We start from the raw sequence: 23,112 nt of genomic DNA on the forward strand, positions 1-23,112 counted from the left end.
GGATTGCTTCTGCCTTTTGGTCATTGTAAACAAGGCTGTTATGACTATTTGTGTACAAAATTTTGTTTGGGCACCTGCTTTCAATTTTTTTTTTAAAGTTTTAAAAAATGTTTGTTTGTTTGAGATGAAGTCTCACTCTGTAACCCAGGCTGGAGTGCAGTGGTGCAATCTCCACTCACTGCAACCTCCCCATCTTGCCAGCCTAAGCTATCCTCCCACCTCAGCCTCCTGAATAGTTGGGACTATAGGTGCAAGCCACCATGCCCAGCTAATTGTTTTTATATTTAATATTTTTGGTAGAGACGTGGTTTCACCATGTTGCCCAGGCTGGTCTCGAACTCCTGAGTTGAGGCAATCCACCTGCCTTGGCCTCCCAAAGTGCTGGGATTACAGGCATGAGCCACCACGCCCAGCCTTGCTTTCAGTTCTTTTGGGCATAAATCTGTGAGTGGAATTGGTGAGTTTTATGGTAATTCTAAATTTAACTTATTGAGGAACCACCAAACTGTTTTCCACAGTGGCTGCACATTTTACATTCCCACCAGCAATGTATAAATGTTCTGATTTCTCCACATCCTCACCAACACTTGTTTTTTTTTGTTTGTTTTGTTTTTGTTTTTTTTTAAGATTATGGCCATCTTAGCAGGTATGAAATGGCGTATCATGATGGTTTTACTGATGTTAAGCATCTTTTCATGTGCTTCTTAGCCATTTGGATATCTTCTTTAGAGAAATATCTATTAGATTTAGTTGCCTATTTTTTAAATGTACAATTTTAAAAATATTTCATAGCTCAAATATTTTAAAACATGTGCATAGCAGATACTTCTTTTCCCTGTGGTAGTAATAATGAAGAAGGCTTTTTAATCAAGCAGTTGATCAAACTACTATGGAAACAGATTAAAAGCTCAAAGATCCCTTGGTAGGCAGGTAGTTTTAAATTGCCCACAGTATTGACTCTAAGTCAGTATAATAGAGAAATGTATTTGAATAAGGGGAATAAAGGAAATTACGTTTTAAATAACTTTTGAGTATAAACCTAAACCAAAAAATTGGCCTATAAAAGGTATTTTTTTTAGATACATGAATTTACCTAATTTATTCATTCACCAAGTATGAATGGGGAATGAAGTACTGGGAGCAGAATCTTAAAATATTTAAATAAATTTTTATGTGGTTGATGCCTGCCTGCCTGCTTGCCTTCTTTCTTTTCTTTTTCTTTTTCTTCTTTTCTTTTCTTCTTGCCATAACTTTTCCATCATATCACGTGTACATCAAGCAATGTAAAAATTACTGTTGAATTTACTGGATAAATATCTACTTTTCTGTATTTCAGAGACTATAATTTAGTGTTTTATTCCTTGCATTATAAAATTGACAGGGTATTTACTCCATGTGTATTTTTCAGAAGTCTTTATATTAATGACTACATGAAGATCTGCCTGATTAAGAAATACTTTTCTTGGATAGAGGGGTAATAGAACTGTGTGCTAGCCTGGTTGTTTTTCCTTGCACCATCTCATCAATTACTCTGGTTTTTTTCTTCATGTCTTCATAGCCTCTTCCCGAGAAGTTTGTGGTAAAAGGTGTTGTGGATCGTTTTTCAGAAGAGTTTGTGGAGACCAGAAGAAAAGCTTTGGATAAATTTCTAAAAAGAATTACGGACCATCCTGTGCTGTCTTTCAATGAACACTTTAATATTTTCCTTACTGCTAAGGTAAGGGCAGAAATTTACATCCTCTTCGTCCATATTACCATTCTTGGGGCTCTTTCCTAAAAGCTGTTTTGAGCAGGACTCGGTCTCTACAAAAACTTTTAACAAATAGCCGAGTGTGATGTTGTGCGCCTGTAGTCCCAGCTACCTGGGAGGCTAAGGCAGGAGGTAGCTTGAGCCCAGGAGTTTGAGGCTTCAGTGAGCTATGATCGTGCCACTGCACTGCAGCCTGGGTGACAGAGTGAGACCCTATCTCTTTAAAAAAAAAAAAAAAAAAAGCGGTTTTGATCTTTCAGAAGCCACCTTCATGAGCAAATGGTTCACTGTAACAGGGTTGTCATAAAATTGGTCTTTTTTTGGGTGCCTGTGTCCATTAGCATGCTTTTTTGCATTAGCAAATCCATATAGATGGATTCTATGTTAGAATTTAGGAGATCTGTCCCCACCCCATCCGGGGCCCCACCCACTTGCAGCAGCAGAGGAAGTTAGAATATTTGCTCTGCCAAAAGCAGAGCTAAGTGTTTCCTTAAACACTTGGCAGTATTACTGGGTGAGGCCAGTCTGACCAACAATGGGCATGGAACAGAAGGAACATTTGAGTGTTTGGTGAGGGTTTTCTTCTTAAGGGCGCTTTGAGTGATTACTTGCAGCTGCATTTTACAGACAAGGAAACTCAAGTTCCAGGAGCTTGTCCTTGTTCAGGTAGCGTCACTAGGATCTCAAATTAGGTCTTTGTGGCTACTGAGGCCACACCGTCCCTGTGTATCAGACTGCCTGATTGTTACTTAACCTGCAACCATGTTCCTGTCAGGTGGACATTTGCCAGATAAAACATTTGGGTCCTACACAGTTGCCAGATTCTGTGTATTCAAACTCAAGTTGGTTGTCCACTGGCCTTTCTCTGCACTTCCCTGTTGGCAGAACTGGCCAGAAAACCTGAGGTGCTGTGCTCTCGCTGTCTGCAGAAATGGGGTCACATGCTCAGACCCTCCTGCTAGCTTCCCTCTAGTCCCATCTGTTTGGTTTCAGGTATCATATTCCCATGTTCAGGCCATATGTAACATGTTCCATGTTGGCAAGGGTATTGTGGTCCAGATACTTTCTAGTTTTTCAAATCTGCAAAATTGGGAAATAGCTATAGATAACATTAGGTGACATTAAAGACTTCGGAGAGTGTGCCGTTCTTCACTCAGTGGAAGCCGCATGACAGAGTCCTTTAGTTTTTATAACCTCAGTTGGCATTGAGCCTTATTGATGACATTCCAGTTCAGCATCTCTTTTTCCCAGAGGCTTTCCCCCCCTACAGGTTGGACAGGTACACTTTTTAAAACTAAGTATTTCCTGGCAAACTAAACCTCAGGTATAATTCCTTCAACTCATACTCAAAGTAGAATACATCCTATTCTCCAAAAGCACAACTCACTTTCTCCCCCAAGGTCCATTTTCCAGAAAGCCCTTAAGCACATTCATGTTTACTGAACAAAAAAGAAAAGGGAGGGAAAAGCTTGGACCCCTGGTTGTTAGGAATCTGTATGAAGAATAAGTAGGAAAGAGAGAGAGAGAGAGAGAGAGAGAGAGAGTGTGTGTGTGTGTGTGTGTGTGTGTGTGTGTGTGTGAGAGAGAGAGAGAGAGGAGATTTATCTATCTGTGGGCCAGGCAGTATGAAAATGACTTAAAAAATATAAGGTCCTTATATGAGAACACATGGACACAGGAAGGGGAACATCACACGCCGGGGACTGTTGTGGGGTTGGGGGAGGGGGGAGGGATAGCATTAGGAGATATACCTAATGCTAAATGACGAGTTAATGGGTGCAGCACACCAACATGGCACATGTATACACATGTAACAAATCTGCACGTTGTGCACATGTACCCTAAAACTTAAAGTATAATAATAAAAAATTTAAAAAAAATTAGAAAAAATATATATTATATATTAATATATAATAAATATATTAATATATAATATATAATAAATATAATATATATAAAATATCTATATATATAAGGTCCTTTACTGCCTTAATCAAAATCCGACTCCATATGAGTGAATACAGGAGAGGTGGCTTTAAACAGAACAAATTTTAGCCCTAATTCAGTATCGCTTGCTGAACAAAATGTGCTAAATGGCCTTATCTTTTCTTTAAAAATTTTTAAAATTGTGATAAAATACACCTAACATTTACTATCCTAACAATTTCTAAGTGTACAGTTCAGTAGTGTTAAGTATATTTAAATTAGTTATGCAGCTCATCTTCAGAACGTTTGCATCTTGCAGATCTGAAACTCTATGCCCATTAAATGGCAGCACCCTATTCCCCCTCTTCCAGCTGCCTCATTTTTTCCTTTAACATACCTTGAATAACTTGATCTTGTTCTGAGATGAGCCACTTACGTGTTCTGCCTTAGGGAATGCAGAGACGCTCTTCCTTTTCTTTGTGATCACATGAGTTTATCAACAAATTAGAAATGTCCTTAAGAAGAAGCCAAAAGGCTGTATGTAATGGCTCATGCCTGTAACACCCAGCGCTTTGGGAGGCCAAAGCAGGTAGACCACCTGAGCCCAGGAGTTCATGTTCAGTCTGGGCAACATGGTGAGACCCCATCTCTATATATTAAAAAGAAGCAGCAGCAGCAGCCAGTAGTAATACTGGGAGAAATGGGGACGCTCAATAGCAACTATATTCAAGTCAATATTTTCATCTTTGGCAGAGTGGGTACAGCAATCAGATGGATACTGCTGAATAACTTTATTCAACATGTAAATTAACTTGGTTAACGGGGACACGCTTTCAAAGCTCTACTTGAAGCGGAGCCTGTGCAGTCCAGCGAGCCCATTTGACTCTAGTCCCACTCGTAAAAACGCTGTCTGCAGAGGTAATTCCAAGAACTCTGAGGCTTCAGTTATAGTCTTGTGAAGGCCTTGTGCCTTTGAGGATGTTTCTTGTCTAGAATGTGGGAGGTCAGAAGGGGAGATGGAATCTTTAGGACACTCTCTCAGGCAGCCTGACTCTGAAGGAAACGAGAGAGGTGGAGAGGAACTAGAGGAGATTGCTGCTGTTTTTAAGATGGGTCAGCCTTGGGTGTATTTTACATGCTGAAGGATTAGAAGTTGAAGATACAGACAGGAGAGGGGATAATTGGTAGGGCAAGGCCCTCGGTTGGGGGAAGGTATGGATAGGTGTTCCAGAAAAACTCTCAAACCATGGTTTTCCTCTGCTCTCAGGCAACAACAGTTGTCATCAACACAGGAGAAGACTTCTGTGACCAAATTGCGGGGTGGGGGTGGGGGCGAGATTTTCCCCAAACACCAAGCAGCCATTGCCAGCTGGATGTCCACCAGTTTAATTTGCACATTATTTGCCTGGACATAGCATCAGATCCCACAGGTTGAGGACTCAGTCCTCAAGTCTGAGAGCTTCCAGATCTCGGACCTTAAGTTCAAGCCTCCAAAACTTCTGACCAGCCAGCTTCAAGTTGGGCTTCCCGTGACCTCTTCTTTGGGTTCCATTAATTTGCTAGAGCAATTCACAGAACTCAGAGAAACACATTTACCAGTTTATTATAAATGATATCACAAAGGATACAGATGAAGAGTTGCATTGGGCGAGGCGTGGGGGAAGGGGCGTGGAACTTCCATGCCCTCCCTGGGTGTAGCACCCTTCAGGAAACTCCACATGTTCAGCTCTCCAGAAGTTCTCTAAACCCAGCTCTCTTGGGTTTTTGTGGAAGCTTCGTGACAGCAGCATTCCATCCTCCAGGGTGTAGGGAGGGACCTTAGTCAGAAAGGCTGGGGAAGATTCGAGTCCTGCCTTGGGGCAGGTGAAAGGAGGGCAGGGGAAGGACAGAGAGATTCTGTTTCCTGAGGCTTAACACACCCAACATTATAGTGAAAAGACTGGAACAAGGTCTGTGGAGGTTATGAGCCAGGAACCGTGGATTAAACACACACACACACAAACACACACACACACACACACACACACACACACACACACACCTACCTCAATAGGAAAGGCTGGATCAAGAGCAAAAATGAAGGCCTAAAGAAGGAAGCGAAGAAGGAAGTGAATTCACGAGGTGCCTACACTCAGATACTATAGAGACCTCAGCCTGAAATTGTACATCAAATGCGGAGGGGCTGTTGGGCCATGTTAGCCGCACATTCCACATTCTCTGCTCTATCCTCTGCATCAGGCCACGTCACCAGAAAGCTGTGTCCTTGTTCTGGGTTCCTTTATCTCCCTCTAGTTATACCCTTCTAGGTCTGGGGATTAACATTCTGTTTGTATTGAGGGTGGATATGAGGAACAGACACCTGTACCTTCTGTAAAACCATTTTGTAAGCTACCCTTTCAGTAGGTGACACAGGACAACCTGAAGATTGTATAGATTCCTCTTAGTGTTTGATGATAGGAGGAAGCTTGTTTTATCAGGCAGGCTAATATGCTTTTCTTTTTTGCCCAGGCTGGAGTGAAGTGGCACGATCTCAATTCATTGCAACCTCTGCCTTCCAGGTTCAAATGATTCTCGTGCCTCAGCCTCCTGAGTAGCTGGGACTACAGGTGCATGCCACCATGCCCAACTAATTTTTTTTTTTTTTTTGTATTTTTAGTAGAGACAGGGTTTCACCATGTTGACCAGGCTGGTCTTGAACTCCTGACCTCAAGTGATCTGCCCACCTCAGCCTCCCACAGTACTGAGATTACAGGCATGAGCCACCATGCCTAGCCTGGCTAATAAGCTTTATATTTAGATACAATGGGTTATGAAACTCAACATATTTCCAGTTTTGCCTTCAAGAAATCCAGGGTTAAAATGTTTTGCTGTTTACAGCATCCATCCTAGGCCTGAGTTTTCTAGCAATGTTTTTCTGCCACTGTTTCCTGCTTTCCACCCTTTACTCCCCTTATATGGCTTTAGTTGGGGTATAAATAAATGAGTGATGGATCTCGGAACCTCTGCTCTTCAGTTTTGCTTGTAAAGACAATATAGGGTACTTTGTATGGGAGAAACAGATACTTAAAAAAAATTATGTTAGAAACAGCATTGTGTTTAAAGGGCAGTGTGCTCAGGTGAGTGAATTTGATTAAGGATTGGCGTTCAGCTCTGCTGAAAGGGATTTAAGTGTCAACCTACAGGAGCCTGAGTCTGGTGGTTATGACGTCCAGGCCAGGTTCCTCCTGTGAATGTGATTAGAGCCTCTAACTCAGCTCCTTGTTTCCCGAGTTCTCCATTTCCAAACTGAAGCTGCTTTTAGAAGCTGTTTTATTTAGTCCTGCCCATGTGAGTGAGTGAGTGCTTTGAGCTTATTCACATATCATCCTCAGGACCTGAACGCCTACAAGAAGCAAGGGATAGCATTGCTGACCAGAATGGGCGAGTCAGTCAAGCACGTCACTGGCGGCTACAAGCTGAGGACTCGGCCGCTTGAGTTTGCTGCCATAGGTGACTACTTAGATACATTTGCACTCAAACTGGGAACCATTGATCGAATAGCCCAGCGGATCATCAAAGAAGAAATAGGTGAGCTGTCTGTTGAGGTCTCGATTATGCCCTGCAGCCACATTGGCAGAAATGCCATTCATGTGTGCTACAGAGAATCAAACTGCAAAATGCTGGAGTGACAGAACTAGGCCATCTTTTGCTTATCAAAGAAATACAAGGAGGGGAGGAGTTACTTGTGACTGGAATGTCACTTTGCACCCCGTCCTTTGTCCTGCTGTGTCAGCCTTGTGTTTGCTTTTCCCATGGCCAGCACTGCTGATTCGCCAGGTGTTTCCTCTTTTATGCTCTCTTAACTTTAGCTTTAAAAGTGGAGACATAGACTCAACTGCCCTTCATCCATAGGGAACAATAATTTAGTAAACAAACTTAGATACCTTTTCTGGCAGAAAGATGGTTCAGAAAGATAGCATGGAGACCTGTGTTTGCCAAAGTTATGACCCTGATGAATCTTCAGACTTGTAATTGACTCACCCACCCCACCGTGGTTCATTTTAAACCCACTCCTGCATGGGGGAGTTGCCAGGGCCTGTATTGATCCTTCCTCGTTTTTGCCTCCACTTCCTTCCCACCCCTCTCGGGGCCACCTGCTTTGCCACATCCCATAATGTTGGGATCTTTTATCTCCTTACATATGCATGGGGCGGACAGACGTGAGCAGTGTAAATGATCGCACTGGCATGGGAAGCACGTTGAGGATTCCCCAGCAGTTGCCATTCATCGGTCACTAAGCCATGATGACTGTGTTCTGTTGCAACAATGGCAAGACTCTTGGTGACAAATGATGGGCCAGATTTTCTTTACGGGGGAAAAAAATCAACATTTTTTTTTTCTCATTTCTTGTACTTGTTCCCTCTACTTGACCCACTGATGATACCATGTGGGGCCCATAGGTTTTGGAGATAGCTGTGGATACCATCCACACCTAAGGATCTTGCAGAGTAAATTCTGATGGGATCCAAGGGGCTGAGGTGGCCACCGAGTGATAGAGTGAGTCTGCCAGTGTAAGACCACATCTCTTGTATCAAAATGTTTCCTAAAATTCCATTGTTTATCCATTGTGACTGTTTTTGTTTTTCGTTTTTTGGTTTTTGGTTTTTTTTTTGAGACAGAGTCTTGCTCTGTCGCCCAGGCTGGAGTGCAGTGGCACCATCTCGGCTCACTGCAAGCGCCGCCTCCCGGGTTCACGCCATTCTCCTGCCTCAGCCTCCTGAGTAGCTGGGACTACAGGTGCCCGCCACCACGCCTGGCTAATTTTTTGTATTTTTAGTAGAGATTGGGTTTCACCATGTTAGTCAGGATGGTCTCGATCTCCTGACCCCATGATCCACCCACCTCGGCCTCCCAAAGTGCTGGGATTACAGGTGTGAGCCACCGTGCCTGGCCCCTGATTTTATTTTTTAACCTTTAAAAACATCTCCCTAAACCTATATGAAACTCTGCCTCCATTGCCTGTTAAAATACTGCTTCACACTATGGGTAGGCGAGTGGTTCTTTTCTTTTTTTTTTTTTTTTTTTTTTTGACGGAGTCTCGCTTTGTTGCCCAGGCTAGAGTGCAGTGGAGTGATCTTGGCTCACTGCAACCTCTGCCTCCTGGGTTCAAGCAATTCTCCTGCCTCAGCCTCCTGAGTAGTTGGGACTATAGGCGCCTGCCACCACACCCGGCTAATTTTTTTGTATTTTTAGTAGAAACGGGGTTTCACTGTGTTAGCAGGATGGTCTCGATCTCCTGACCTTGTGATCCACCCACCTTGGCCTCCTAAAGTGCTGGGATTACAGGTATGAGCCACCACCAGGCCAGCGAGTGGTTATTTTCGAAGATGTTTGGTGGATGTGGCTGCTACTGCTTTTCCCCATAAGGCCCATTATCCAGAGGGATGGCATTCCCATCACGGGATGGAATGGATTGATGTAACATGAGCTGTCAGAGGTTTTTAAGCAGTTGTGCTAGAAACAGTGTTGTGTTTAAAGAAGAGTGGGATCAGGTGAGTGAATGGCCAAAGAAACACATGTTCATGTAGAGAGCTCTTGGCTGTGGTGATTACTGAGTCAGTAATAGCAGCAACTGCTACCCAGCCAGATTTTAATTAGTTTCTGTTCCCTGTTCAGAGTACCTTGTGGAGCTGAGAGAATACGGGCCTGTGTACTCCACATGGAGCGCCTTGGAGGGTGAGCTGGCTGAACCCCTGGAGGGTGTGTCAGCTTGCATTGGGAACTGCTCTACAGCCTTAGAAGAGCTGACAGATGACATGACAGAAGACTTCCTACCTGTGCTCAGGGAATATATTTTATACTCTGACTCCATGAAGGTAAGCTGGCTTGCTTCTTGTGTATTTGCATACTTTCTTTGTAATAGCAGTTATCAGAAAGTAATGGATTATTGCCTGTTTGCATGTGATATAAGTTTCCTTCTTCCTGGGTGGGCAGGATCAGACACGTGGACTGACATCATGGACATATAAATGGAACACATGGTGAACGAAGTACGTGAATTAAACAAAAAAAAAAGTTTGGTAAGAAATTCTTACTGGTTTCTCTGAGAGTTCAAGAAGATATAATGCCTATGAAATAAGAACAAAGATGCCATGGAAAAGTAATAATTAGAGCTCTTGGAAGTTAAAACATGATTGCTGAAATAAAACTGAATAATCAAGTTGGAAGGTGAAATTGAAGAAATCTTAAAGTAAGACAAAACAAAAGTTGCTGGAAAATAGAACAAAAATGCAAAAGTACTGAAAATATGAAAGAAAAGAGACATAGGGAATTAATCCCAAAGGTTCAGCATCCGACTGATAAGAGTTCCTGAGAGAACAGGGAAGACTGAGGGAAGGAAATTGTAAAAGAAATAATACAAGAAAGTCCCCCAAAGCTGAAGACATAAATCGTCTGATTAAAAGGACATGATAATTGCCCAGCAAAAGGATTGAAAAGATCACCAGCCCAAAGCATATTATTGTGGAATTTTAGAACAAAAGTGATACGAATTTGAAAGCTTTTTAAAGCAGAGGGAGGGGCAGATGATGTATAAAAGGAACAAGAGTGAGAATGGCTTTGGTCTAGCAGCGGTGAATGAGAAGAGGAACTATGAGGACAAAAAAAATCTTTGGCCTCAAATTCTGTATGCAGAATCGGAGTAGAGTGCAGGAGGAAATGCGCCAGTGCCCACACTGGAAACTTCCCCGGCCTGCACATAGACTGGTTGGAGAACATCTCTTCAGGAGACTCCGACGATGGGGGCACTGATTAGTAGAAAGGCCCAGTCTTTATGACCAATAGAAAAAGATACGTGGTTCAGTGTTGAACATTCCCACCTCTAAATAGCACCCTCCTGCTTCTCAAAGGAGACCTCTGAATGATTAATCTGTCTTTGGGACAGGTCTAGGGCATCCCATGAGGAAAGACCTGAATAGGGACTGACCTGAATTCCAGAGAGAAACCTGTCAGTCAACATTGGGTTGTAAAAATGTTAAACCAGAAAGATCGTAGATCCAGGAAAACATTGTACAGCTTGAGAACAGGAATTAAAAAATAATGAATCAACTAGTTATAAAAACAAATTATGATGGAAAACTTTAAGCACATGCCAAAGCAGAGAGAATAGTGACAAACTGCCACATACCCATTCTCCTTGTTCCGTCTTGTCCCATCAGGTGTGAAGGGTTGATACGTACTAAACTGTGGACGGTGGAAAATGGAGCCTCTGGTGAATCCCCTTTTCATGTGTGCGTTATAAAGTTGCTAATAAAACACTTTCCAAGCCAGGATTGAATTTGGATCTCTCAGTGACCAGGGAAATGGTTTGAATTTCCTTATCTATAAGTTGGAAATGATGGTGGTGATAGGATAAAGTCAGATTTGAGATCATTAGCCTGAGACCACTAGTTGGAAATTATTGGAACTGAGGCTGTAAGCCAAAACTTCTGGCTGTGAATTTGCAGCTCATTCTCTTGTATCACATTGACTTTTATTAAAAAAAATTGGGATATACACATTGAATTTTTGATCCTATGGCCAAAACAAGTATAGAAAGACATGCTGACTTTCTTAAAATGAACTAGAATATTTCACTTATCAAACTAATGGTATCTGTGTTTTTTGTTTGTTTGTTTTTTTGAGATGGAGTCTCACTCTGTCATCACCAGGCTGGAGTGCAGTGGCACAATCGTGGCTCACTGCAACCTCTGCCTCCTGGGTTCAAGTGATTCTCGTGCCTCAGCCTCCCGAGTAGCTGGGATTACAGGCACCCGCCACCACACCCAGCTAATTTTTGTATTTTTAGTAGAGACGGGGTTTCCCCATGTTGGCCACCCTTGATCTCCTGACCTTATGATCCATCCGCCTCGGCCTCCCAAAGTGCTGGGATTACAGGTGTGAGCCACTGCGCCTGGCTGATATTTCTTTTTTTTTTTGAGACGGAGTCCTGCTCTGTCACCCAGGCTGGAGTGCAGTGGCACGATCTCAGCTCACCGCAAGCTCTGCCTCCCGGGTCCATGCCATTCTCCTGCCTCAGCCTCCTGAGCAGCTGGGACCACAGGTGCCCCCCACCACGCCTGGCTAATTTTTTGTATTTTTTTAGTGTCAGCCAGGATGGTCTCGATCTCCTGACCTCGTGATCCGCCCGCCTCGGCCTCCCAAAGTGCTGGGATTACAGGCGTGAGCCACTGCACCTAGCCCTGGTATCTGTTCTTAAAAATAAGTTTTTACAATTCCTGGAGTGTCCGTGGATTTGTCTCTTATGTATACACACCCTTCATCAAATATTCTCTTAACCTTGCCAGATGAAAAATCCAATGCATACACAGCACTGGGATACTATAGTACAAATTACTCTGTTTTTTTTCCTGTGGCAAGTATGTTAGTACTTAGTATATATTTGTATTTGAAGCACGATTTAAAAATGTCATATAGCAAGGATTTATCTGGCATCTATAAAACATTACACTGGGAGACATAGCTTGTGTAATTTAAGTTAGACATCAAAGAAACATTTGTTTGCTCTTTCTTTACCCCCCATGTGTGGGGCATATGTATGGAGTTTCTTGTTTACTGAGCCTGAAAAATCAGGTCAATCAGGCTGAGTGAATGGGATTGATTGTACACAGTCTTGTCTGGGGAAGGGCATGGAAAAGAGGAAGTGTGGACTGGCAGTCTCTGAAACCCAAGCTCTATCCCCGATAGTAGCTGAGCTGAGTCCAATTAATAAGAAACAGGGCCACTGCTCCTCCACTTTTCACCAGGAAAATGTCTCTGCAGAGTGCCCTGGGCACGATAGGAGTGATTGGATGGCAAAGCAAAGACTGTGTCTGGGATTATCAGGGTCTGTGTGGCTGGGACTAAAGACACCAGGAGAATGATAGATGTCTTAAGTGGCTTGCCCACCTTTTCACATTGCTGCTCTGTAAGAATTTTTAAGTATATTTTCTTCCTCCGAGAGAGTCATATAGTTCCATTTCCAAAATGGCTTTCTGATTTTTGAAACTTAAGTAGGGCAGACTTTGCTGTGCAGTATGGAAACTAAGCGTGGAGCAGAGGACTTGCCACAGGCCTGGCTGTGGCCTGTTCTTTATTTTTTGGAGATGGACTCTTGCTCTGTCGCCCAGGCTGGAGTGCAGTGGCACGATCTTGGCTCACTGCAACCTCCACCTCCCGGGTTCAAGTGATTCTCCTGCCTCAGGCTCCCGAGTAGCTGGGATTAGAGGTGCACATCACCACGCCTGGCTAATTTTTGTGTTTTTAATAGACACAGGTTTCACGACGTTGGCCAGGCTGGTCTCAAACTCCTGACCTCAAGTGATCTGCCTGCCCTGGCCTCCCAAAATGCTGGGATTACAGGCGTGAGCCCCCACATCAGGCCTGTGGCCCGTTCTTCATCAGCTGCTGAATGGTCCTCAGAGCTGAGAAAGTCCTGGGTTGGTTTTGGTGAGGAGTTACTGGTGTGGTGAGGTTCTGTCAGTCTATCTTCATCATGGCCTTGAGGGAACCTAATGGTGAGTGTTTGTCCTCATCATTTGGAAGTAGTGGCCTGTGCCTTAGGAATTTGAAATGGTGGATGGCTGGTCCCTCCCTGGATGGGAAAATGCCAGGGAAAAGTCCTGTCCTGATGGAGCTGTGGTGGGGGTTCCTCTCTGAGTTCGAAAGGGCCTTTAGGATCATCTTTCTCATTTGCTCATTGTTGACACGAAGAAACAGACCCTTGTGAGTAAATCTTTTCTCTGTTGCATGGCCACAGGACTATACTCCTTAGTGACCAATCAGCTTGTAGCTGTGTGTTTACTACTTGCCAAGAGGCAAACTAGGTGACTTTAGGCTTTTCAAGCCTGGCCTCCAACTGTATCTCTTTCAGGACAATTGTGGCTAGGTATGTTCTGTTCCCTTTGGAGGTAGAGAGCATAGAAAAATAGGGTCATTATCAAGGCACTCGGAACAAATGGAACAATGTGAGTTTAAGCAGTGAACAATGAGAACAGCTTGTACTAGAAAGACGGTTGAAGGCATGTGTCACAAGGATATGTGTGCGGGGACAGGAAGGTACAAAAGGTTAGTTACCCTTAAGCCCAGACTCAAGTTAAATACCTCGCAGACATCCACAGGTGAGCCCTTACATAGGATTTCACATCCTATAAACTGTGTGTGTATAATGAAATTAGGGTAGTGATGGGTTGAAAGAGGCCCTCTTGAAGTCCTCACCACTTTTCTGGCAGTGCCTTTTGAGTATTAGCATTGTCATGACTAGGCCAAATGTTGGAGAAGCTTTATTCCTGAAGGTTTGGGCAGGACTGTCTTATTTCCCACACTGCCTTATCCATAGAAGGTGGTCAGCAAGCATGTAATTGAATCGGACAATTTGGTAAATTTGCGACACTTACAAATATACAATGATTGCACATTGTACATCTTATTTTTAAGAGGTTTATCTATGTCAATACGCATGCTTATCTCAGGGGTCTTGGTGAATGACTGGGGTGGGGTGAGGGTCTGAAGTAAGAGTAGGTTGTAAGGGAAAGCCACATGGAAAAGGCTGTGGCTGGAGACTTGGAAGACATATGGGAGTGAGCTGCGCAAGGGTCGGAGGATGGAGCATTTTAGGCAGAGGGGAGCAGCCAGTGCAAAGTCCGAAAGCTGAAATGAGCTCAGAGTCTTTGCAGATCAGAAAGGCTGGGGAGTGGAACCTGGTGAGCAAAGGAGTAAGTGGTAAGCGGTGAGGTCAAAGAGAGGTAGGAGCCTGGTCCTGCAGTAGCTTTTTTTTTTTTTTTTTTTAGACAGAGTCTCACTCTGTTGCCCAGGCTGCGTGATCTCAGCTCACTGCAACCTCCACTTCCCGCTTCAAGCGATTCTCCTGCCTTAGCCTCCTGAGTAGCTGGGATTACAGGTGCGCACCACCACGCCCGGCTAATTTTTGTATTTTTAGTAAAGACGGGGTTTCACCATGTTGGTGAGGCTGGTCTCGAACTCCTGACCTCATGATCCACCCACGTTGGCCTCCCAAATGCAGTAGCGTCTTAAAGACCATCTTAAAGGCTGGTAAGAGTCTGGACTTTATTCTAAGGACTAGAAGAGAAGCCATTTGGTTTTATGCAGGGGGATGACAGGATGTGATTTTCACTTTAAGAAGACAACTAGTGCTACAGTATGGAGACTAGATTGTAGAGGATGAGAGTGGTGATTGGGAAGGCCGTTCAGAAGGCTGTCACAGGGAGCCAAGGGCAGAAAACTAGGTGGTGGAGCCTGGACTGCAGTGGTAGAGACGTGGGTGGATTTGGGGTATATTTTGGATGATGGGCCAATGGCACTTGCTGCTGTAGTGATGCAAAATAAGAAAGGAATTGGGGTTTTTGGCTTTAGCAGCTGGGTGGATCGCAGTACTGTTTATTGGGACGGGGAGGGTCCAGGGAGGAACAGGTGGAGCAGTTGGGAGTCCACTATTTTGGGCATGTGGAATTCAGAATGCCTCCTAATCATTAAAGTGGAGATGTCATGGCAGTTGGTTTTGAGTTAGTCTAGAGTGGGAATAGAAATTTGGGAGTCATTAGTGTATGAATGGTGTTTAAATCTCTGAGACCGATGGAGATTGTATGAGGAGATGTGATTGAGGTGCGTAGAGTGTGAAGGCCTGCGCCTGTGGCATGGTAATATTTATTGATCTATCACCTTAAGACGAAAGAACAAGTAGCAAAGGAGCCCACAAAGGAAGGGTTGGTGTGGCAGGAGGGAAGAAGAGGATTGCCTCCACGAAGCCAAGATAAATGTTTTAAGAAGGGGGCAAAATATATCTGTTGGATTTAATAATATAGACATCGTTGGTGATCGAGATTACAAGTGTGAAATGTGGATGCATAAGTTTTGGCTTAAAGACAAAGTTTTTCTTCCAGTTGGAGATAACTTCTACAACATTCCGGGTTAGTCCTTTTCAAAAGCCAATTTAAATTGTCAGGCGGTTTCTTCAGCCTGCCCGCCCCTTCCCCACAGGGCCACAAGGTGGCGCCAATGAGTCAAACTCCGGGAACGCGAACAGTTGGTGCTTTAGGTTGGCCATTTCCGGTGCCTTTCCAAAACTGAAATGAAGAGTTTTCTGGAAGATTGATTTGTCAGGGAAAAAATGTCCCCTTTCCTGAACAAAAGAGATTATACAGAGTGGCTAATTTCTTGCAGCTAAAATAATGTGAAGAAGCAGGATGTGAAATATGCCTGATTTCAAAGGCTTTAAAAAAATAAGAAAAATATTAAAATGAGAACTCTGAGATTCCCAGTAATGGCAGACTGAATACACATTTAAACTTCACCAAAATGACACTAAAACGATTTTGAAAAAAGTCACAAGCCCACAGACAAGAGCAACAGGCAAGGAGGCAATAGCAGTACAATTTTGGGAACGGATTGAGAGTTAATAAGTACTTTAAATGACTCAAGCTGATTTTGAAACCGACTGTGGGGGAAAAAACTGAGAAGCCACCTGGTTTACACCGCGGAACCCTCCAAAAAGGTCAAGAGTTGGCAGCACCACGCCCCTCTGGGACTGAGGTAGAGCTGAAGAGAAGAATAAATCTAGAGTCTGTTTAAGAATTCTAGCTTCTGATCCTCTCCTCCCTGCTCACACAGGGGCCACTTCCTTCTCCACTTTGGCAGAACTGGGGGTCGATTCTCTGGAGGGGGCCTCTGTGGAGCAAGAGACTCTAGGCACACTTGAGGGTGTTCAGTGAAAGATTAGTGATGTTGAGACTCTTCTCCTGCTTGACTCTCAGCCTTAGATCTTCCATGCAAGGAGGAAAAGAGCCTTTTCTAGAAAATCTGGACGGGCCAAGAGAAGTGACCCACAGATACTGATATTGGCTGGCGATGGAGAACCAGGGTGGTCCCTCAATGAAAGGACCCAGCCGAGTCTCCTATGGAGAATGTCAACAAGCCCTCTGTGCAGAGAGCTTTCAATCCATTTCCATGGAGTTTCCCTCTTGGATGAGTGGACAGACAAGGGTCACCAGATATGTAAGGGAAGATTTGAATATGAATATCAGAAGTAAAACAAAGAAGAAAAACCTATTGAATGAAACACTGATGGGGAAGAAAATTTCCAGAAAAAAATGTTAATATTTTCCAAAAGAGAAGATATCACAGCCATAAAACAGTAATTTTTAAAAATTCAGAGAACAAAGAGCTCTTGGAAATTAAAACCATAATAGGAATAAAAAAATTAATAGAAGAGTTAGAAGAAAAAGTTAAGCAAGTCACATATGAAAAGAAACCAAAAGAGAATTGGAGAAAAAAATATGAAAATTAGAGGATTAGACCATCTGAATAACAGGTGTGCAGGCAGAGAAACAGAGAAATGGGAAGCATCAAAGAAGCCATTCAAGGAAAAAGACCAGAAGGGAAGAAATAATGTATCACTGATTGTGTCTGTGTGATGAGATTATGTATGACTTCTCCCCCTCCTTTAAATTTTCCAAATTTTGTGTAAAAATATATTTTAAAATGAGGGGATAATGTGTGGTTTCAGTGTTACCAACATTGCCCCAGGACATCTAACTCGCAGGTGGTCCTGGTTTCCATAGAATGAATATGTAAAAGGAGCATGTTGAAAGGGGTAACCTGAACTCAGTCATTTAACCAGAGCTAGTGATATCACCAGTACCAGATCAGACTCATTTTCCTGCCTGCAGGAAAGTGCCCTTCTAGAGGGCTACCCTAAGCCACAGGGCTACGTGCGTATTTTATTTTTATTCTCATTTGTTCTTTATTACTGAACACCCATTACTCTACATGAATTCCACTTGGGTCTTGGGTCGTCAGCCCTGGCCTACAGGAATATGAACCATCCCATCCTGCAGTTCTCTGTGGGGGGTGAGCTGCTCCTGCTGCTTTGGTATCCTCTTCCAGCCCTGCATCCTAGCTCCCCTCTTCCACAAAGCTTTGAAGCTGAAAAACTTGGTGGGCTTGAAGAGGCTTTTTGGTAGCTGCTGACCTTTGGCGCTGGGGCTCCTTTTCTGCCTTTTCCCCTCCCATAGTTTGTGAGCCCACAGCCTTGCCAGGGTCAGACATGTGCATGAGTCTGAGGGTGGGGAAGGGATGCTGTGCTTTCCCGTAGATGCCACTGTGGTCTTTTTTGGGACAAATCCAGTGCAGATGTTGAAAGCCAAACCACAGGATGCATCTGTCATCCAACTCTTCCAAACATTTTGTCATTGTAGATAAAGGCTGTTTGATTAGTATTTCGTGGATGACATAACTATAGACCTCTTAATGACTGTTATTAATTTGTTATATTTGGATGACAGATATTGTGTTTCTATTGTTTAGCCTTTTTATTATAGAAAAATTCAAACATATCACAAAATAGAATGATAACAATAAACCCACATGTATCCCAGCCGTCCCGTGCGTATCCCAGCCGTCCCGCGCATATCCCAGCCAGCATCAGCAGTTGCCCACTCATGACTCATCTGGTTCTGTCTCTCTGTCACGCTGCTCCCAACTCCCACCCTGTGGTTTAATTTTACACAAATCCTGGAATCATATTATTTCATACAGAAACGTTTAGTACATATCTCTAAAATACAAGCATTCTTTTTTTTTTTTTTTTAAAAAGGACTACCTAATTATGTTTAAATATCCAGTTAGTGTTCAAATTTCCCCAGTTTGTCTCAGACACAGTTTCTGTTTCTTTTTCCAAATTGAGATCCAAACAGGATCTGTACATTGATTGGTATGTTTCTTAAATATTAAAAAATCCTTCTTTGTCCATTTATTTTTCCTTGTAATTTATTTGTTAAAGAATCATCTGTCTTCTCTTCATTGGAAAAGAGAGATAGTAAAGTTCCAGGTTATTAGGACCACTTGAAATCACAACAAAATGTTCTAATGTTTTAAAAAATAAGTGTCCGAGAGGAATTTATTCCATGTCTGTAATTAAAAGTCATCTTGTGAGTGTGAGGCCCTCCTTGGGCACCCTATGTATGATTTTGCCTTCCCCAAACCCTTGGTACTTTCCTTCCATTCCTGTTTTATTTTTCCTCCTAATGCCTAGAGTTACCTACTATATATTTTACTTGCTTCTTGTCTGCCTCTCCTCTAGAATGTAAGCTCCACATGGTTTTGTGATTTGTTCTCTGCTGTATCCCCGTCCCTGGCTAGATGAATGAAGATGTATGAAGGCAGGGCAGAAGCAGGGTGGGGAATGGGTGTGTAGAGGAGGGCAGGTGGCGCGAGGCATGAGGAGAAAAGTCTCACTGTGCCCTTCGCCTTTTTGATGTGTCATATCAATGGGATGCAGATCCCTATAAAGTTCTGTGAGAAGTTCAGATGATGACTCTCTTCTGCTTGTCACTCAATGATGGAGGGGCCTCTCTGCAGACGCCGGCTTGGTCTCTTGGCCTCTTTACCCCACTGCCGGCTCGGGCCTCATCTGACAGCCATAGGCTGGTTTGACCAATTTTATCAATAGAGACTGGGCTGGGGGCCCATCCTCTCAGAACATCACCAACAGCATGCAAAGGTGTCCCAATGAGGGTGGTGGTAGTCAGCAGTTTGTCTTGATTCAGAACACGTTGCCCAACCTTCAGCGTGGTTGGATTTTGGGCCAGCTGCAAAGCCACATGCTGGAAGGCAGCAGGAACAGCCTGAATGAGCCACTGCTGTGCCATGAGCCAGGTGTGGCCTTGAACAGGGCCCGCCACCGTCCCTTAGTCTCCTCATCTGTAGAATAGGGAAGATGCGCGTTCACTCTGCAGGGTTGCTGGGAGCCTTTTGTGCTGTCCAGTGATGCAGGGCTGTTAGGGCGGATCCTCCAGTCAGCCTGCGCCAGAGGGCAGCATTCTGGCCACGCTGGATAACACTGAGAGACAGAGACCCTGCCTCTCCTGTGGGCCAGGGCAGGCCCAGGCCAACTGGAGAGAGGGATATGGCTGGATCTGCAGGCCCCCTCGTCTGTTTTGGGCATGGGGAGAGGAGATGCTTTTGCACTGTTGTAGCTGAGTGGGGTTGATGCATCTCCTCCCCACCCCTCGTAGTCCCAGGGGTCTTGCAACCCCAGCAGTGCCCCCAGGAGCCCCCACGCTGTGCTGGCATTGTTCCAGGGCATTGTCTTAACAGCTTTAGTTAGGAGGCTCTTGCCACACTGACAGAGTGTGTGTCACTGGGTCAACTCAGACTCCTTCCTAGAAGCGCTAGTCTGGATATGTGGTTTTTTTTTCCAGTAAGATGCTAGGCATCCTGTGAAGGGAAGTGCACACCAGTGATAAGCATCCCACATGGCCCCTGCCCTGCTGTTCCATTGCACCTTGGGGAACCACATTTGCACGTCCATGGAGAAGAGGATTTTTACTACTGCTGTATCAGACCAATAGATTTAGATTATTTTCTGGGCTGTATGAAGTCCACAAAGGACTCTTTTTTACTTTATAGATTTATGTCATCCAGTATGGTAGCCACTAGCCATATGTGGCTATTTAAGTTTAAATTCAAATGAGTAACATTGAATAAAAATGTAAATCCAGTTCCCCAGTCCTGCTAGCTTTGTTTCATGTGCTCAGTAGGCACGTGGAGGCAGTGGCTCCTGGGTTAGTGTAGATTATAAAACGTTTCCATTATAGCAGAAAGTTCCATTGAACAGCACTGTAAATATTCCTACTCAAAGATGAATGAGTGTGGGGAGGGAATGTCAGGGCACTTAGGAGACAGCTGAGTGGCAATTGACGAAAAATTATTGCAATTTTAACCTCATTTTCATTTCATGATAAAACACTTCCTAAAGCAAACTTTTCAGAGGAAGACTTGAGGTTTCCGGTATTGACACATTCCATTAGAAGGTTGAACCCACAACACTCTCAACTCTTCAGTTGCCTGTCACCTTTAGCACAGGCAGGGATATGGGGTGCCCGTGCTTAGCCAAGGAGTGACTCCTTCCTGCCTTGACTCCTCACGCTGCTGGAAGGTCCCCTGTGGGGAAAGTGCATGATTAGAAACTTTCATAGCAATTTATTTCTTTTGAGTTAGTGGAAAAGAAAGGTCTCATCACTCTTGGTTTGCCACTTGTGATTCTATTAAAGGAAGAAGAAAGAAACTCGTTGATGAAACAGACACCTTTCTAGAAGGTCTACTGCAAGCTTTTCTGTTTTGCTTGGTGGGTTCATAGCAGCAGAGCTTGGACTAAGTGAGGGGAGCCCCAGGCACAGATTTACAGGGCATTCACTGTCAGGTGCCAACCTTGTACTCACATGGGCCAAAGAGGGAGTGTCTCCTTACATTTTGCACCCCGGGTGCCTAGCTTGCCTCACTCCTGTCCCATCCAGGGCTGGCTCTCTTGGGGCCCATTGAGCCTTCACTCTGGTGGGCTGGCTGCATGGTTCTAGGAATTCTGGACTTGCACAGGTATAGCCCCTTTAGCACATACAGGCGCATACTGTGTCTGAGCCTCTGTCACACTGAACCTCTCAGGTAGGGAGTGCATCTCTCTGCTCTTTCTATACCTGGACCAGAGTAGAGGACTAGTAAGTGGCTAATGAATGAATCATTGAACAGATCAGTCCACTAGGGGTCCAGTCAGTGAATTAAAGAGTGAAGAGTTCTCTTAGACTTTAAGATTTCAGAGAACATCCAGTGTTGTAGCCTGCAAAGCTCCGCATTTCTGCACAGCCGGGCTCTGGCTGCACACAGTGACGCGGAGAGTCCTCCCAGCAGCGTGACAATGGATGGGTGCTGTTTCCTCCACTTGCCTTTCCCTAGAATTTCTTTCCTTTCAGCGTCAGGTTTTAGTTACTTTACTAGAAACTCCAGCATCAGGAGTGGTTCTCCTCTCTTCCCTCCTTTCTCCTGCTTCCTCCAGAGTTTCTGCCATGGCCAGACTGTCCTAGGAGCACATGGCTGGGCCTGGGGTAGGCCTTGATTTGGGGAGGCGTGGGGGAAAAGAAGCAATTGCCTGGGGGTGGGAGGCCCCTTTGTGGACTCAGTGTTACATGCTTCTCTCCTCTGCCTCCCACAGAGTGTATTGAAGAAGAGGGACCAAGTTCAAGCAGAGTATGAAGCCAAACTGGAAGCTGTGGCTCTGCGGAAGGAAGACCGCCCCAAGGTCAGGGAAGCCACCTGGGAAGGGCTGCAAAGCTGTAGTCTCCCTGCTGGTGCTAAGTAAATTCTCATCTCTAGATCTGTATGACTAAGAGTGGTCAGTGCCGGCTGGGCTACGTTGATGATGTTGTCCTTTTTCACTCCCTTTTCTGTCCTATTTCTGCGAGTTCCTAGTGTTCACTTGGGATTGAGTTTTCCACTGTTTCCTGGGCCTAATTTTTGGTTTTTTAAAGACTTAACAGCTCTGCCATTCATCGGCAGTTCCTTGCTCCATAAAATGGCATTGCAGAGAGAAGGAAAGAATAGCCTAAATCAGTGCTTTCAAAGTGTGGTTCATAGGCCCACAAACTATACAATCCATGATGAGGAAAGTATAGAAGCACTTGGAAACTTCTATAGGAATTTGATGTTGCTGCAGAACCAGTTGAACACATTGTGTTGAACACTCAAGGCGAGCGTGTTAAACTCGCGTGAGGAGTTGCATGTGGAGCAAGCTGCGTGCTGGTTCTGCACGGCAGGACTACAGCTTGGTCGAATTGGGGGAAAAAAGCCAACAAAAAGTGGCCCTTTACTCCACAGAGTTCGAGCAGCACTAATCTTGCTTGTCTAGGATGCCTTCTGGCTCCAGTGTTTGTAACTGCTCGGTAGGTTCACCTCACCTGCTGCCTAGACAGAGCTGATTTATCAGGACAAAGGAATTGTAATGGAGAAAGAGTAATTCGTGCAGAACTAGCTTACTGGACACTGGAGTTTTACTGTTATTCAAATCATTCTCCCTGAGCATTTGGGGATCAGAGTTTTTAAAGATAATTTGGTGGGTAGGGGCTTAGGAAGTGAGGAGTGCTGATTGGTCAGGTAGGAGATGGAATCATAGCGGGTGGAAGTGAGGTTTTCTTGCTGTGTCTTCTGCTCCTGGGTGGGATTGCAGAACTGGTTGAGCCAGATTACCACCTTTTTACATTTGTGGGCTAAATGCAGACTTTTAAAATATATACAAACAAATCATCCTATGTCATCCCTTTAAATCCCTTTGTTGAAAGGAAACTTTTAAAATATACACAAATAAATCATCCTATGTCATCCCTTTAAGTGAGACTGAGACATGGCTCAGCAGATGGCACCATGTTCCAGAAGATCACAGGCCAGCTCGGAACTCGTCAGTGGGGCTGGCCATAGGCAGGCCTCCTCTTACTGGGGAGGTTGAGGTGGGAGGATCCCTTGAGGCCAGGAGTTAGAGGCTGCAGTGTGTTATGATTGCGCCTGTGAATGGCCACTGCACCCCAGCCTGGGCAGCATAGGGAGACCCTATCTTAAAAAAAAAAGGTTTTGGATTTTGG

The 23,112-nt window shown here is 44.3% G+C and overlaps 1 protein-coding gene across 12 annotated transcripts in view, besides 5 other annotated features; it reads left to right on the forward strand.

Annotated features, from left to right (window-relative positions):
• The window catches only part of SNX30 (sorting nexin family member 30), a 136,047-nt gene that overhangs the window by 79,444 nt on the left and 33,491 nt on the right, over nt 1-23,112 (forward strand). For all 12 annotated transcript variants that reach the window (XR_007061307.1, XR_007061301.1, XR_007061302.1 and 9 more), the window contains 4 exons: nt 1,559-1,717; nt 7,048-7,243; nt 9,332-9,531; nt 21,693-21,779. Coding sequence is in view for 3 of the 12 variants with exons in the window: in XM_047423393.1 (XP_047279349.1) it covers nt 1,559-1,717; nt 7,048-7,243; nt 9,332-9,531; nt 21,693-21,779 (642 nt within the window). In the remaining 9 variants the exon portion in view is untranslated. The remainder of the gene's footprint in view (nt 1-1,558; nt 1,718-7,047; nt 7,244-9,331; nt 9,532-21,692; nt 21,780-23,112) is intronic.
• Nucleotides 4,029-4,229: a silencer, noted in NCBI's record as "peak7321 fragment used in MPRA reporter construct". NCBI's record gives its function as "represses an SCP1 promoter by STARR-seq MPRAs in K562 erythroleukemia cells {active_cell/tissue: K562}" and the evidence as "EXISTENCE:reporter gene assay evidence [ECO:0000049][PMID:32103011]".
• Nucleotides 15,619-15,728: a silencer, noted in NCBI's record as "silent region_20197". NCBI's record gives its function as "represses an Ori minimal core promoter by ATAC-STARR-seq in GM12878 lymphoblastoid cells {active_cell/tissue: GM12878}" and the evidence as "EXISTENCE:reporter gene assay evidence [ECO:0000049][PMID:35858748]".
• Nucleotides 17,060-17,613: an enhancer, noted in NCBI's record as "NANOG hESC enhancer chr9:115608506-115609059 (GRCh37/hg19 assembly coordinates)". NCBI's record gives its function as "activates a minimal SCP1, AML or CMV promoter by ChIP-STARR-seq in primed H9 embryonic stem cells {active_cell/tissue: H9 hESC(primed)}" and the evidence as "EXISTENCE:reporter gene assay evidence [ECO:0000049][PMID:30033119]".
• Nucleotides 17,634-18,134: an enhancer, noted in NCBI's record as "H3K4me1 hESC enhancer chr9:115609080-115609580 (GRCh37/hg19 assembly coordinates)". NCBI's record gives its function as "activates a minimal SCP1, AML or CMV promoter by ChIP-STARR-seq in primed H9 embryonic stem cells {active_cell/tissue: H9 hESC(primed)}" and the evidence as "EXISTENCE:reporter gene assay evidence [ECO:0000049][PMID:30033119]".
• Nucleotides 18,920-19,492: an enhancer, noted in NCBI's record as "H3K4me1 hESC enhancer chr9:115610366-115610938 (GRCh37/hg19 assembly coordinates)". NCBI's record gives its function as "activates a minimal SCP1, AML or CMV promoter by ChIP-STARR-seq in primed H9 embryonic stem cells {active_cell/tissue: H9 hESC(primed)}" and the evidence as "EXISTENCE:reporter gene assay evidence [ECO:0000049][PMID:30033119]".

This window comes from Homo sapiens, chromosome 9 (genome assembly GCF_000001405.40).
Source record: "Homo sapiens chromosome 9, GRCh38.p14 Primary Assembly".
Classification (NCBI taxonomy): domain Eukaryota; kingdom Metazoa; phylum Chordata; class Mammalia; order Primates; family Hominidae; genus Homo; species Homo sapiens.